Source organism: Homo sapiens, chromosome 10, assembly GCF_000001405.40.
Source record: "Homo sapiens chromosome 10, GRCh38.p14 Primary Assembly".
Taxonomy (NCBI): domain Eukaryota; kingdom Metazoa; phylum Chordata; class Mammalia; order Primates; family Hominidae; genus Homo; species Homo sapiens.
In genome coordinates, this window is record NC_000010.11 from 47,987,314 (window position 1) to 48,001,392 (window position 14,079).

Consider the following 14,079-nt stretch of genomic DNA (forward strand, 5'->3'; position numbering starts at 1 on the left):
GGAGGAAGCCGTGGTTACAGGGCTGTGGCCCTGAGCAGGAGCTGGCTGGCCCAGCAGGGTGGGCCGAGCACTTCAGTCAAGGCTGAGCGCCAGGCACCAGGGACTCAGGTCTGAGAGACCTGATGTACATCCTGCTCCAGAGCAGATCACAGAGATGCGCCCGCATGAATCCCCAGGCTAAGCCCAGAATTCCGTGGAAGATGCCCATGGGCCAGGAACACGGGTAGTCACCGCGCTAGGGCATCACACAGGGCCCCCCTTGGCCAAATACCACGAGGGAACTTGGACACCTGCATGGGGCCATGGAAGTGCCTGCAACCTCACACTCAGGCCTAGGGCTTACCGAGGTATTGCAGATATTTGTGTTCTCAGAGTAGGAGCTTAGGAATCAGTATCTTCTCTTCGCTACAGGGACAGAGATGCAGTGGCCTAGGACACATCACAAATATTTAAAACGATGTCCTTGGTCAAGGACAGAGGTAGCCAAGGCCAGCCTTCTCCCAGGAAACTAACCCAGGACCCCAAAGCACAGAGCTGTTAGGTGGGAGGGAATTGGTCTGTATGTCTCCCTATACTGTTGCAACACTTCGGCGCTGGGCTCCCTGTCCCAGACTCACCTTCCATACTCAAGCCAGAGGCTTACGAAAGCCGGGTTAAGATCCTCCCCTGCCTGTCCCTGTAAAGCTTCCCCACTGTCTCTGGAAATCGTTTGAGCTTCTTAGCCCCACAGCATGAGCCCGCTCTGACTCAGGCCCTGACAAGCTCTTTCTCTTCTGTCTCTCCCTCCTCTGTTGATATGGACACACCATTCCTTTGGCATGTCTAGTACAGACCAGATCCCCTGCTGTTGTTAGCATTCCTCCCTCTCCCTGGAATGTTCTTCCTTATCTGTCTACCTGATAAGCACTGAGTCATCCTGCAAAACTCTGCACAGCTTTCACCTTCCCTGAGGAGCCTCCCCTGGCCAGCCCCACCCTGTTGCAGGCAGAATGCTTGGCGGTGGGTTGCTGACCAACGATGTGGGTTGCTGACCACAAATCCATTCCCCCTTTATTCCTTGCCAAGGGAATGCTGATTTTGCTCAGGTTGTCAACCCTCAGGGAGGTGACCCTAAACATGCCAAGTCCAACACACTAGCTCTACCCCCTGAGAGCATGAGAACAACACAGATGGGCATGTGCCCGGATCTGGCCTTGCCCTCATGGACTGCAGGTCAGGGGTGGGAAGCTCTTATAGAGCAGCCCCAGGAGCCCTAGGGGCCATCCTGCTGGCCATGCCATGGCAGTGTCAGAACCCCAAACAGCACCTGGGGTGAAGGAGCTACTGAAAGAGTGGAGAGACTCCACTTTGTCCTGTTAGATCTGTCTCAGAAGTATTTTTATTAGGATTGACTGGGGAAGCTTTCTTCCACAGGGAGCCTAAGGGGGCCCAGAGAGTCTTCTCAGAATTGGAGGCCATCAAGGATTGGCTCAGGCTCGCTGGCTACTAGGCTCTCCTGTTCCCAAAGTCCATACTCTTGTTTGTTGTTATTCAAAAATATTTGTTGAAAGCCTGCTATCTACTAGGCCCTGAATGTTTAAAAACAAATAAAGTTGTGCTCATCGGTGTCCACACACACGATATCCCTTGCTTGTGGAGTCACGCTCTGCTATTACTCCTGTTAGCACTTCAAGCCCCTTGTGTGTGCCAGACCTGGGCCAGGTGCTTTAGAAGCAATGCTTATGTCATGGCTTCCTCAACAGTTGTGCTAGGTAAGTACTGATGCCTCACTTTACAGAAAGGGATCTGGACTCCCTTACACAGCTAGTAAGCGATGCTGTTGGGACTCCCCAGCCTGACTCAGAAGCTGAGCTCTATCTACCTCCCCTGCCCTACTGATGACTCCACCTTTCCCAGGCAATGAGTGTTCCTGGAACGTTCCACTGAAGGAAGCTTCACCCACAGGAACGCAGGTCGTCTGGGAATGTGGGAGGCATCTCAGCTCTCAGTGCCTGCCGGCTTCCCTCTGCCCCAGCACTCGGGGGCTGTGGTGCACCAGCGAGTGCCCAGGCTGTGTAACCGCATCCCTGAGGAGCATGCAGTCCCGCAGGGGTGCGGTAGGTCTCAGGTGCAGCATTTGTAAGCAGCTCCCGGGCTGGTTCTGATTTTGCTGCATTGAGAAGCCTCTGTCTCACTTCCCACTCTAAGGTTTTAGAAAATAAGTGTTCTGGGAATCGGAGCCCTGGCTATCAGTGTGGAGTCCTGGAGCTCCAGACCTCCTGCTGAGAAGGAAGGGTCAGCCTCAGGCTCCTGCAGGGTCTTGCCCAGGGCCGTGCTAGTCCAGACAGGCACATTTTCACTGAAAAGGTGACTCAGACCAGCCTGTGACTACATCTATTAATATAACTTGTTCTGTGACAGGCACAGGGGAGCTGCCACGCCTTGGCCTTCCCCTGCTATGTGGCTGCCCAGAGGCCTGGGAGATGGGTTTGTCTCTATGAGAGACACAGAGGAAAAGGCAACACCAAAAAGAGAGGTGCAGATGGGCCCTGCCTGCAGACAGATCTCTCTCCAGTGGCTCCCTCATCTCCTCCCATCCCGTTCCTGGCCCAGCTTTGTGCCTAGAGGACACTGGGTCTTCGCTAGCAGCTCAGCTGTTGCAGGTGGGGTCTACCTGTGAACTTGCTACCCCGAGCCAGCTCTCACATGGGGTATGGACGACCAGGGTATGGTTTTGGCCCTGGAGTCAGGCTGTTCAGATTCTCACCTAGACTCTCACACTTACTAGTGAGTTCGGGCACCTGCCTAGCCTACTTGTGCCTCAGTTTCCTCATCTGTGGATAAGGATACTGGTGTCTACTTCATAGACTCCTTGTGAGGTTCAAGGGAGATATTGAATGTGAGGTGCTTAGAGAAGGGTCCGGCCACAGAGTAGGGACTCAGTGAGTGTCACAGTGATCCTGTCAATTTGGCAGGTCCCTACATGGACAGCCCTTTGTCCTGCTGCACTGGGTGCAAGGCCCAGTGCCAGACTACCTTGGCCAGCAACTGACTTTGGAAACCACCCAGCACTGGGCTCTCCCTGCCATGTCCACCTCCTCAAAGGCAGGTTCCCAGCAGTCTGGTTGAAGCTGCAGGCCTCCATGGCCCCTTGTCCTGGAAGAAGTCTGCTTCCCTGGGGGCCAGGACAGCTGCCCCACCTCAGCCTGGCTTCCTCTTTGTCCCACCTGTCCAGAACCTAGCATGTCTGACCCTGAGGACACTTGCTTGGGTTGCGACATCTATGATCCAGAGACTCCCTGAAGCTGGACAAGCCTGGGTATCCCACAAAAGCTCACAGAGAACCTGGGGCTGGGCAGAGAGACCCAACTGCTCTCTGACTGGAGCCTGCTGGCCATTGGACCCTAGCAAGTCACTCAGTGTCTCTGAGCCTTCATTTCATCATCTGCAAAACAGAAAGTGCAGCCCTGACATCCTGAGGCTGCCTGGGAGGAAAGGAAAAGGGTGTGCAGAGCCGGCAGCCGGGAGATGTCACCTCTGTCCCCTTCTGGATATTCAACTCCTTAGCACAGCGATGGCCTCAGGCTCAACCATAGACAGAAAGCTCCCGAGAACCCATCAGTTCTGCTGGGCATGGGCTGCCCTGAGCCCCGGGTTCCTCCAGGCTCTAGCAGGCCAGGTCCTCCTGCTTCCCCTCTTCCCTCTCCAGTCTTGACAAATGAACATCATTGATCCCTGAGGTGAAGGCATTGATGGGTCCCCAACAGCAGGTTCAGGTTACTCTCATGCTCAAAGCCCTTCAGTGCCTTCCCACTTCTCTTAAGGTAAAGCCTAACTCCTCAGCCTGCCAGGCAAGGCCTTTCAGGACCTGGCCCTGCCTGCTTCCCCAGGTCCATCTCCTCCGGTACCAGGACCCTTGAGCTGTGCTGAGCAGCTTCCCTCAAAGCCAAGCTCCCCGCCCTCTGACCCTCTGCACACAGTTCCCTCTGCCAGGAGCAGTATGCCTGATTCTCCCCAAATGCACACGTGTGTGCACCCCATACACATTTACACACAAGGCTCAACCATGATACCCCCTCCTTTGAGTGGCCCCACCCCTGCAAGGGTCCCTCCCCTGGACTTTTCTCAAACCTCAGCTTCCCCCTTGCATTTCTAGATTTCTTCATCAGCCTGTCTCCCGGCCCAGGTCCCATCCCTGCCGTGGGCACTCTAGGCCTGGGGCTGTTTCTTCTCGGCCCCTTCCCACCCTCCATGCTTGGCCCAGGAGGCAGCCAAATGTAGACTGAGCCACTCCCAGCCAAGGGCGACTTTACATTTCTCAGGACTCCCTGGTGACCAGCACCCAACACCATGCAGGAACCCAAATCTCCTGCCAGCTCCCACTTACCCAGGCTTTCCACCAGGCCATCTCTTTCACTTCGGGGGCACCTTTCTCACGGAGATGAAGAGACACAGGTTGGCCTCTGCTGGGACTCCACATGTCTGGCTCCTGCAGCTGAGGAGTGAGCAGGCCGCTCACTTGGGTGTGGGGGTGCAAGCCCGCCCAGGGCAGCGCTACACCTGCCTGCCGCCCCCTCGCCCCCGGGCTCTGCCTGGCTTTGGGCGTCTCCTGTGGCTCCCAGGCCCCACCCAGACACTGCCCAGGCCTGCTCTGGGGAATTACACAACTCTCTGGCAGGTATTTGGGCTGTGGCTGTTACGCATACTGGAAATTCTTAGCTCCAGCCTGCGAAAGCCCCACTCAGTAAACACAGCTCCATGTTGATTAGGCTGGTCTCAAACTCCCGACCTCAGGTGATCTGCCCACCTTGGCCTACCAAAGTGCTGGGATTACAGGCATGAGCCACCGCACCCAGCCCATTTTCATCATTCCTAATAGCCGTGGAGTATGCCATTTAATCAACTGCATATGCAATATTATTTTTTTTTCCGGGGGCAAGGGGCTCATATTCACCACAGATGGGAGGCCAGTTGGTGAGAAGGTGGCAGGCGGCACAGCCACCTTATACAGCATGCCATGCTGGTCCACTGTCAGACCGGTGATGGCCTCAGCTCCATCACCCCCCAGGCTGACTCTGGCTCCTGCCTGGCTCTGCCCGGCCACCACAACCCCTCGGGACCATTCAGAGGCATCACTGGAGGATGTGTGGTTAGTGGAGCAGCTGGTCATGGGGAGGTCTCGTTTCTTTGGTGGAAGGCATTCCTGGTTCCTCTCATGAACAGGTTTCATATTGCTTTGTGGTGTTCCTGGAGCCTGGAAGGAGTTGGCTTGCTCCCTGGGGCATCAGGAGGGGCTTCTCTGTAGCTTCTCTGAACCCCTCTCTGCTTCTGGCTGGGGCACCTACATCTGAGCTTCCAGTGGTGCTTCTGAGCAGCTGTAGTAAGCGTCCTCCCGGCTGGCTCGGGAGCCAGCCCATTTCACCACGCTTCCAGGGATCCACCCGCTCATCCTGGAGCCGCTACAAACCTGGCCGCCGCCATCCCCAGCCCCGGAGCCGCCCCATACCCCTGTATGTGCAATATTTGTTAACCATTCCCTTTTGGTGCCCATCTAGGTACAGGTATCATTTTTGGAGCTAAAGTATCTATAATACACTGGAAGTAACAGATGTCACCTCCATATTGTACGCCAAACCTAATAAGCAGAGCAAAACTTTTCATCCAAGCGATTTAGTTAACATTTTAGGATGTTTCTAATCTTTCAGTAATACAAATATGCTACAATAGATCTGTGTGTTTATCCTTTGGGCACCTGTGTGTGCCTGTGCATACCTGGAGAATAAAGTCCTGTGAGAGGAACTGCCATCCAAAGAGGGTGTTTCAGTCTGTACTGCCACCAACAATGTGCTTGTGCTTCTGAGCTTGCGTTTGGGTCAGGAGAATTTGAAAGTCATCAGGAACCAAACCAGGATATAAGGTTCAGCTGTAGCTGGAAAGTGGCAAGCGTTCCAAAGCTAAGACATTGGCTATACCTGGGCTGTTCACAAACTGTGAGTCCAATTCTAGATGAGATCCAGAAGTACGGTGAGCAACTCACTTATTTTTAAGCAAAACACCTTTTCTTCTCATTTCTGCTAGGAACAAATAGCTTCCAGCAAGAGAAATAGGGGATGCAATATTTTTACAAATTACTTCTCTTTTTTTTAATTAAAAAAATGTTAAGTTAAATGCTACTTAAAGATATGTTTAACCTCTATGATACTGACTTTTAACCTCTATGATATGCCATTTAATCAACTGCATATGCAATATTATTTTTTTTTCCGGGGGCAAGGGGCTCATATTCACCACAGATGGGAGGCCAGTTGGTGAGAAGGTGGCAGGCGGCACAGCCACCTTATACAGCATGCCATACTGGTCCACTGTCAGACCGGTGATGGCCTCAGCTCCATCACCCCCCAGGCTGACTCTGGCTCCTGCCTGGCTCTGCCCGGCCACCACAACCCCTCGGGACCATTCAGAGGCATCACTGGAGGATGTCTGGTTAGTGAAGCAGCTGGTCATGGGGAGGTCTCGTTTCTTTGGTGGAAGGCATTCCACCCTCTCTCATGAGAAGAAAGAGAGAGGGTCAGGCATCTTGCCCACTACTACCCACTATCAACACTTAGGCCTGACATCAGTCTCTAAATAAATATTCTGGGCCAGGTGCGGTGGCTCACGCCTGTAATCCCAGCACTTTGGGAGGCCAAGACAGGTGGATCATGAGGTCAGGAGATCGAGACCATCTTGGCTAACATGGTGAAACCCCATCTCTACTAAAAATACAAAAAATTAGCCAGGAGTGGTGGCGGGCACCTGTAGTCCCAGCTACTGGGGAGGTTGAGGCAGGAGAATTGTTTGAACCCAGGAGGCAGAGGTTACAGTGAGCCAAGAACATGCTACTGCACTCCTGCCTGGGCAACAGAGTGAAACTCCGTCTTTAAAAAAAAAAAAATCAACAGCAGCTTCTAGGATGATGAGCAGTGACTCAGTCTCTCCTTGACCAGATTCTGTAACCATCCAGCAGAAATGCTTATCTGATCTCTGCGAGAACAGGAAGCAGCTCAGTGGGGGCCTTCCTTGCTAAATTCTTCATCAAGCTGGTCTGTTATCTGCCCTGAGTCCTGCAAGAACATCTCAAGAAAAATCCCAAAAACATGCAAGACAAATGAGGGTCCTCCCTTAGCATGTCTTGAAGCACTGAGGCACCTGAAAGTTGTATATAGTTTCTGGGGAAACAGTTTTTTAGGAAATGTAGCACAGACACTAACTATTCTTCCAGAAGAGCCCCTTCCTGACATGAAAGATCTTACTTAGCATGACAGAGAAGTATCTGATTCATCATGAGGACCTATCCAACCAGCAGCAGGGGCCCCAGTGCCAGTGTCCACCTCAGCAGAGGAGACACGGGGGACATGCAAAGTGTTTCTGTTGAAAAATACTTCACCTAGGGTGACTATAGTTAGCAGCAATGTATTGTATATTTCAAAGTAGCTAGAAGGCTAGGTACAGTATCCCATGCCTATAATCCCAGCATTTTGGGAGGCCCAGGCAGGCAGATCACCTGAGGTCAGGAGTTCGAGACCAGCCTGGCTAACATGGTGAAACCCCATCTCTACTAAAAATAAAAACAATAAAAAAAATAATAATAAAAATTAGCCGGATATGGTGGCCTGCGCTTGTAGTCCAAGCTACTTGGGAGGCTGAGGCAGGAGAATTGCTTGAACCTGGGAGGCAGAGGTTGCAGTGAGCCGAGATCACACCATTGCCCTCCAGCCTGGGTGACAGAGCAAGACTCTGTCTCAAAACAAAAACAAAAACAAAAACAAACAAACAAAGTAGCTAGAAGAAGGGACTTGAAATGTACCCAACACATAGTAATACCAAATATTCAAGGTGATAGACACCCCAAACACCCTGATTGATCACTATTCTGTGCATGTAATAAATACTTAAATGTACTCCATAAATATGTAAAATATGTTATGTCAACAAGAAAATACTTTGCCTAGTGTTTCCATCCAAATGGGAATAAATCCAGCGCTCAATGTACACATGTCATGGCTTTTTATTGAGACTGGGGAAGGGCCGTGGTAGCAGGTGCACTCACTGTCCAAGTTTGTCCAGACTTTCTGCTGCATGGGTGATGGCATTTGTGACTGTGTTGGTCACTGTCTCGGTGATTTCCTTCATCTTTTTGTCCCCTGACTCCTGGGCTTTCTTTATGGCTTCAGCAATGGCTGTTGGAAAGAAAGAGGAAGAATGTCCTAGTGATCCACCTGCTGAACTTGTGTCCCCTTGAGTGGCCTGTGGGATGTGGCCATCTTAATGGATTAGTCTCTGGAGTGGCCCGATGGGACCAAGGGCAGCAGGATTACTGCAGAATGAATTTGAATTTGGTTTTAATTTCCCCAACAACTTGCATTTCTTCAACTGTGAGTGAGACTGAGCATCTACTCATGGGTACATTGCCTGCTTATCCTTTTTTCTGGAAAATGCCTGCTTATGTCTTTTGACCATTTTTATATTGGGTTGTTATATTGGATTATCATTTTTATGACAAATATTTTTCATCAGTGTATAATTTTTCTTTTGGCTTGGTTATAGTGTTTTTTTTTTTTTGGCTATAGAAAATTTCAGTTTTGGATTGTCAAATTTACTTAATATTTCCTTTATGGCGCTGATTTTTTTGTCATAGTTCTGAAGATTCTCCCCTCTCCAAGATTAGGCCAAAGTCTCTGAAGTTATTACTATGTCTAAATGTTTATGATGTCTTCCCCCTCAAAACTCATATGCTGAAATCCTCAGTCTTAATGTAATGATATTAAGGGGTGGGGCCTTTGGGAGGTTGAAATTAGCACCCACATAAAAGAGACCACAGAGAGCTAGCTCCTTCCACCATGTGAGGACAGAGCTGGGCCCATCCATGAACCAGAAAGACTCCCTCACCAGATGCCAAATGTGCCAGTGCCTTCCTTGATCTTGGACTTCCCATCCTCCAGGAGTGTGAGAAATAAATTTCTGTTGTTTCTAAGTCACCCAGTTTATGGTTTGTTTTTGTTTTTGAGACAGAGTCTTGCTCTGTCACCCAGGCTGGAGTGCAGTGGTGCAATCTCAGCTCACTGCAACCTCCGCCTCCCAGGTTCAAGGGAGTCTCCTGCCTCAGACTCCTGAGTAGCTGGGATTACAGGCATGTGCCACCATGCCCAGCTGGTCTTTGTATTTTTAGTAGCAATGGGGTTTTACCATATTGGTCAGGCTGGTCTCGAACTCCTGACCTCAGGTGGCCCACCCGCCTTGGCTTCCCGAAGGGCTAGGATTACAGGCGTGAGCCACTGCACCTGGCCTATGGTATTTTATAATAGCAGCCTGAGCTAAGATGGTTATCTCCTAGTAAGTTAATAAATTCATTTATGTAAATGTAAGTCCTTCATCTACCTGGAATCTATTTTGTTGAAAAGGAATGAGATATACACATGCTTTGTACATAGTACTACTCATAGCTCACACACATCAATTTAACATTTAACATAGAATTTTACATGTTAATTTTTTTTTTTTTTTTTTTTTTTTTTTTTGAGACAGAGTATCACAGTGTCGCCCAGGCTGGAGTGCAGTGGCGCGATCTCGGCTCACTGCAAGCTCCACCTTCCAGGTTCACGCCATTCTCCTGCCTCAGCCTCCCGAGTAGCTAGGACTACAGGTGCCCGCCACCGTGCCCAGCTAATTTTTTGTATTTTTAGTAGAGATGGGGTTTCACCGTGGTCTGGATCTCCTGACCTCATGATCCGCCCACCTCAGCCTCCCAAAGTGCTGGGATTACAGGCGTGAGCCACCGCCCCCAGCAATTTTTTTGAGACCGAGTTTCGCTCTGTAGCCCAGGCTGGAGTGCAGTGGCATGATCTAGGCTCACTGCAAGCTCTGCCTCCCAGGTACACACCATTCTCCTGCCTCAGCCTCCCAAGTAGCTGGGACTATAGGCACCCACCACCATGCCCGGCTAATTTTTATGTATTTTTAGTAGAGACGGGGTTTCACCGTGTTAGCCAGGATGGTCTCGATCTCCTGACCTCGTGATCCGCCCTCCTCAGCCTCCCAAAGTGCTGGGATTACAGGCATGAGCCACCGTGCCCTGCCATGTTAAATGTTTTGTCCCAGTGTGCTGTCACATAGTCTTGTGTGACTTTGTCTTCTTATTCCACAGAGAGAACCATCTAGACAGTGTCCTAACGCAGTACGGTCTGTGGCCTCTGATGAGCATAGATAACTGCCCCAGCCAAGAGGCTCTGAAAGGCTGCAACATTAGGGGCAGAGTTTGACCTGGTTAGTCAAAGAACAGGTTGGCCCAGCACCTAGCTTCCCTTCCTCCCTCCCTCCTTCCCTGCCCGACCTCAGCCGGCTGTACCTTTCTCTCCAGTCTCCTTGGCATGTCCCACCACCTCCTTCACCACTTCCTCCACGGCATGAACTGAACAGAGGAGACAAGTCCAGGGTGAGGGCTCAGAGCAGGCCGGCTGCCCCTGAGTCCAGGGTGAGGGTTCAGAGCAGAGCCGCTGCCCTCCCAGTCCAGGGTGAGGGCTCAGAGCAGGCCCACTGCCCTCCCAGTCCAGGGTGAGGGCTCAGGGCTGGCTTATCCTCACAACAGACCTATACATCCCTGGGCATCCTAGATGGGGCTCTGGGATGCCACCCCCAGCCAGGACAGACTGGCTCATGAGAAGGACCTTCCCCCACAGCTGGCTTCATTTGGAGACGCCAGGGCCTTGGCTACCGGGAGACGAGCTCAGTGAGCCCCATGAGGGCATGGGTCCCTGAAGCCCCTTGGCCCTGCCCGGCCTGGAATGGCAATGAGCAGGCAGTCTTGCCAGCTGAGACATGAAACCCAGGCTGGGCCTGTGTGCCAGGTCACACCCCTCTCAGGATGTGCTAGCGCCTGCCTCAGGTTGGTTTCCAAAGCCTCATCCACTAAGACCAGGTCTCTCAAAGCAATTCCTCCAACAAAACGGAATTCTCTGCCTACTTCAGAGTTTTTTAAAGTGTGGGTGGTAGTGTGCTAGAACTGAAGGATTTCAGAGTCAGAAGAAATGGTTCTTATTCTAACTCTACCTTCCACCTCTTGGTTCCCTCATCTTTAGAATGGGAATCTGTTGGGATGATGAGACCCAACACCAGGTCACGGGGGCGGCAAGTCCAGCGGAGTCAAAGGAATGAGAAAGAGACAGTTCGAGAGAGAAAATGGGAGCAGGGCGCTATCGCGAGTGTGGAGGCTGCGAAGGCCCCGAGTTCTGGGAGCCCACGCTATTTATTGGTGATCTAACAAAGAAACAGGTGGTGAGGATGTGGAGGTTGAAAGGCAACAGTGTATCAAGTGAATGAGAAACATATGGCTACTTGAGAGAATGGCAGTGCTAGAAGCAAGGAGCCAGCAAGTCTAGCAAGCCCTGCCTCAGCTTTTCTCCCAACACTCAGCTTTTCTCCCAACAGGAATCATAGAAAACTCAGAGGCTAGTGAAAGGTTAAAGCAGGTGGTCCACACCAGCTGCAGAGTCAAAAACAAAATACGCATCTGCTGCCATTTAGAAAGAGGACACAAACTCAGGCAAGACTTTTTCACACGATGACCCATGAGTGGGGCCTGGCTGGGCCTCCCCACACATACCTGCTGACCTCTGAATACAACATACACTTCGGGACCAGGTGCAGTGGTTCACGCCTGTAATCCCAGCACTTTGGGAGGCCAAGAGGAATGGATCACTTGAGGGCAGGAGTTTGAGACCAGCCTGGCCAAAATGGCGAAACCCCGTCTCTGCTAAAAATACAAAAATTAGTCGGGCGTGGTGGTGGGTGCCTGTAATCCCAGCTACTCAGGAGGCTGAGGCATGAGAATCACTTTGAACCCAGGAGGCAAAGGTTACAGTGAGCCGAGATCGCACCACTACACTCCAGCCTGGGTGCCAGAGCAAGACTCCATTTCAAATACAAATACAAATAAAAATAAACATGCTTTAGGGGACTTGGATGAAATTGAAAATGCCCTTTTTGACTTTGAACAGACTTGGTGACTTGTTAAGAAATCTTTGAAGCTTTAAAGTTATGGTAAAAATAAAAATCCATCTTCCTTTTCCTGCATAGGTTATTCAGAATAGGCTGTTTTGACAAGAAAGGCTCCCCAGATTTCCAGAGGGAAGGGTCCAAGCTGCCAGTGTTCACCCAGCACCAGGACTCATGCCCTGCCCCCAGGAGACCTCCCCAGGTCTGCACCCCTCAACTCCGTGCTGACTTGGTAGAGCAGGAGACCAGGGTTCCTGAGGGGCCAAGGCCTCCCCGCAGGTCCTCGCCTGCCTACGTAGATCCGCCTCCCACAGACCCAGTCTGCCCCAGATCCCCCCAGCCCAGGTAGAAAGGAGCCCCGGGTCCTCACTGGCTCCCTCGGTGGCCTTCTCGGTGCGGTGGGCCAGGCCCTCGGCAGCCAGCTTCCCCAGGCCTCCCAGCATCGTGTGGCAGCAGACAGTGGCGAACTAGGATGCTGAGGACTGGCCCAACATGCTTTTATAGCTGCCTCTGGTGTCTGTCTAGGCTCTGGGGCAATAAGCCCTCACCCCAGCCCAGTAGGAGGCTGGACAGGTGAGTCAGTGAGGGCGGCAGCAGGAAGGGGCTGGGCGGAGCCACCCTGGAACTAGGGTGGCAGCATCCCCTGACAGCATGAGGCTTCTGTAACCCTGTCCTAGGGACCCCGTGAAGGATAGGGGCAGGGAGCAGGGCTGGACAGTAGAGATCTGGACATGCTTCTTCCTTGAGGCAGAGGGCCTGAGTGCCAGCCCCCCTGAGACCAAAGCTTCCCAAGCCTGGGTACTGATATGTACCTGGAGACAAGGCCTAGGATTCCAAGCCTGCTGCTCAAGGTCCCCAGTGTGGCCTAGTAAGAGGTTTGGGGGTTCTATGGGCCTGGAGACCTGGGCAGTCCTTTGGGTCATGAACACAAGTGGAATGAGGGTGACTGCCCTCCCCATTCCTGGAGACCCTGGCTCTGCAGAGCAGTTTGCGGCCTCCATGGGACAGGGTGGGGCGTTCAGGGTGGTGCCTTGCCCGAGTCAGAGGGGGGCACAGCACTGGGCAGAAGCGTAGTCACCTGGTGTCACTCAGCTGATGCTCACTCACCCAAGAGGCTCTGTGAGGTCAGCAGTGCCCTCCTATCCCCTGGCAGTCCTGGAGGAGTAGACAGAGGCCTCCACCACCACTCAGGGAGATGCTTCTGGCCTTAGCTAGAATCCCCTAGGAAGCAGCTTCCCTGGCTCCTGGTGCATCGCATGAGGAGTGGCAGGGCTGCTCCCTAGTTACTCATGATGGACAGACATGCCTCAAGCCACCTGCCACATGCTGCTTCCCTTAGTCACCAGCCCAACCTGAGCCTCCGTTTCCTCATCTGTAAAATGGGCATAGCGTGTCTTCTTGGCTGTGTCCCTAATCATCCCTGAGACAAAGCATGCAAGCTCCTGGTAAACACCTGTTCCCTCCACTCATCATTGAGGTGCCCTTTGGCAGTGAGCTCTGACCAACTGGTAGGGTGTGCCAAGGAGTGACTGGGACGTGAGGCTGCCTTGGAGCCAGAGGGCTGGGGAATGTGACTTCTGCTGGCCAGGAGCCAAGGAGAGGTCTTCCCATGCTCCTACTTCTGGGGTGCAGGCCTGTGGCAGGGGTCTGAGGCTCTCTCCCCAATGCAGGCTCCTGGAGCTGCTCTCCTGGATGTGTCGGGGCCTGATTAGTTTACTGGACTGTGGGCCCTCCCAGCCTGGGACTCGGGAGCTGAGACCTTCTTGCATTCCTGCATGGTGTTTGCGGGCTCCAGGGCTACGGCCAGTCCCCCTAGGGTGGACAGTGGGTATCGTGGGCAGCAGGACCTCTGGGTCTCAAGACTGTGGCCCCACACATGCCATTGCTGTCTCCTTTGGGCAGGGGTGGATCGGGGCTTCAACAATTTAGAGGGGCCTCTTTATGAAAAAGAATACAATAATATGATTCTTGCACATTTTTCATTTATATACGTATGAACTTCTGGACCCAGAAGGGGCTGTGAAAGTCGGGGGCCTGGAGCTCAGGCGGGTCCAGATGACCCTGTCCTCC

General features: G+C 52.3%; 2 protein-coding genes across 2 annotated transcripts in view, besides 2 other annotated features; both read right to left on the reverse strand.

The window, feature by feature from the left end:
- ANXA8 (annexin A8) overlaps positions 1-4,483 on the reverse strand; it is a 523,804-nt gene extending 519,321 nt beyond the window's left edge. Inside the window, exon 1 of the mRNA XM_006717951.4 lies at positions 4,367-4,483. Coding sequence (XP_006718014.1) covers positions 4,367-4,459 — 93 coding nt within the window. The 5' untranslated portion in view covers positions 4,460-4,483. The remainder of the gene's footprint in view (positions 1-4,366) is intronic.
- Positions 704-1,654: an enhancer, noted in NCBI's record as "OCT4-NANOG-H3K27ac-H3K4me1 hESC enhancer chr10:49196054-49197004 (GRCh37/hg19 assembly coordinates)". NCBI's record gives its function as "activates a minimal SCP1, AML or CMV promoter by ChIP-STARR-seq in naive and primed H9 embryonic stem cells {active_cell/tissue: H9 hESC(naive and primed)}" and the evidence as "EXISTENCE:reporter gene assay evidence [ECO:0000049][PMID:30033119]".
- Positions 7,068-7,595: an enhancer, noted in NCBI's record as "NANOG hESC enhancer chr10:49202415-49202942 (GRCh37/hg19 assembly coordinates)". NCBI's record gives its function as "activates a minimal SCP1, AML or CMV promoter by ChIP-STARR-seq in primed H9 embryonic stem cells {active_cell/tissue: H9 hESC(primed)}" and the evidence as "EXISTENCE:reporter gene assay evidence [ECO:0000049][PMID:30033119]".
- On the reverse strand, positions 8,009-12,478 carry FAM25C (family with sequence similarity 25 member C). Its single transcript, NM_001137548.3, has 3 exons — positions 12,380-12,478; positions 10,364-10,426; positions 8,009-8,198 (listed from the first exon to the last, which is right to left on the reverse strand). Exons 1-3 carry the CDS (start codon positions 12,450-12,452, stop codon positions 8,065-8,067), a joined length of 270 nt encoding a protein of 89 aa, NP_001131020.1. The 5' UTR covers positions 12,453-12,478; the 3' UTR covers positions 8,009-8,064.
- Positions 12,479-14,079: the final 1,601 nt, after the last annotated feature.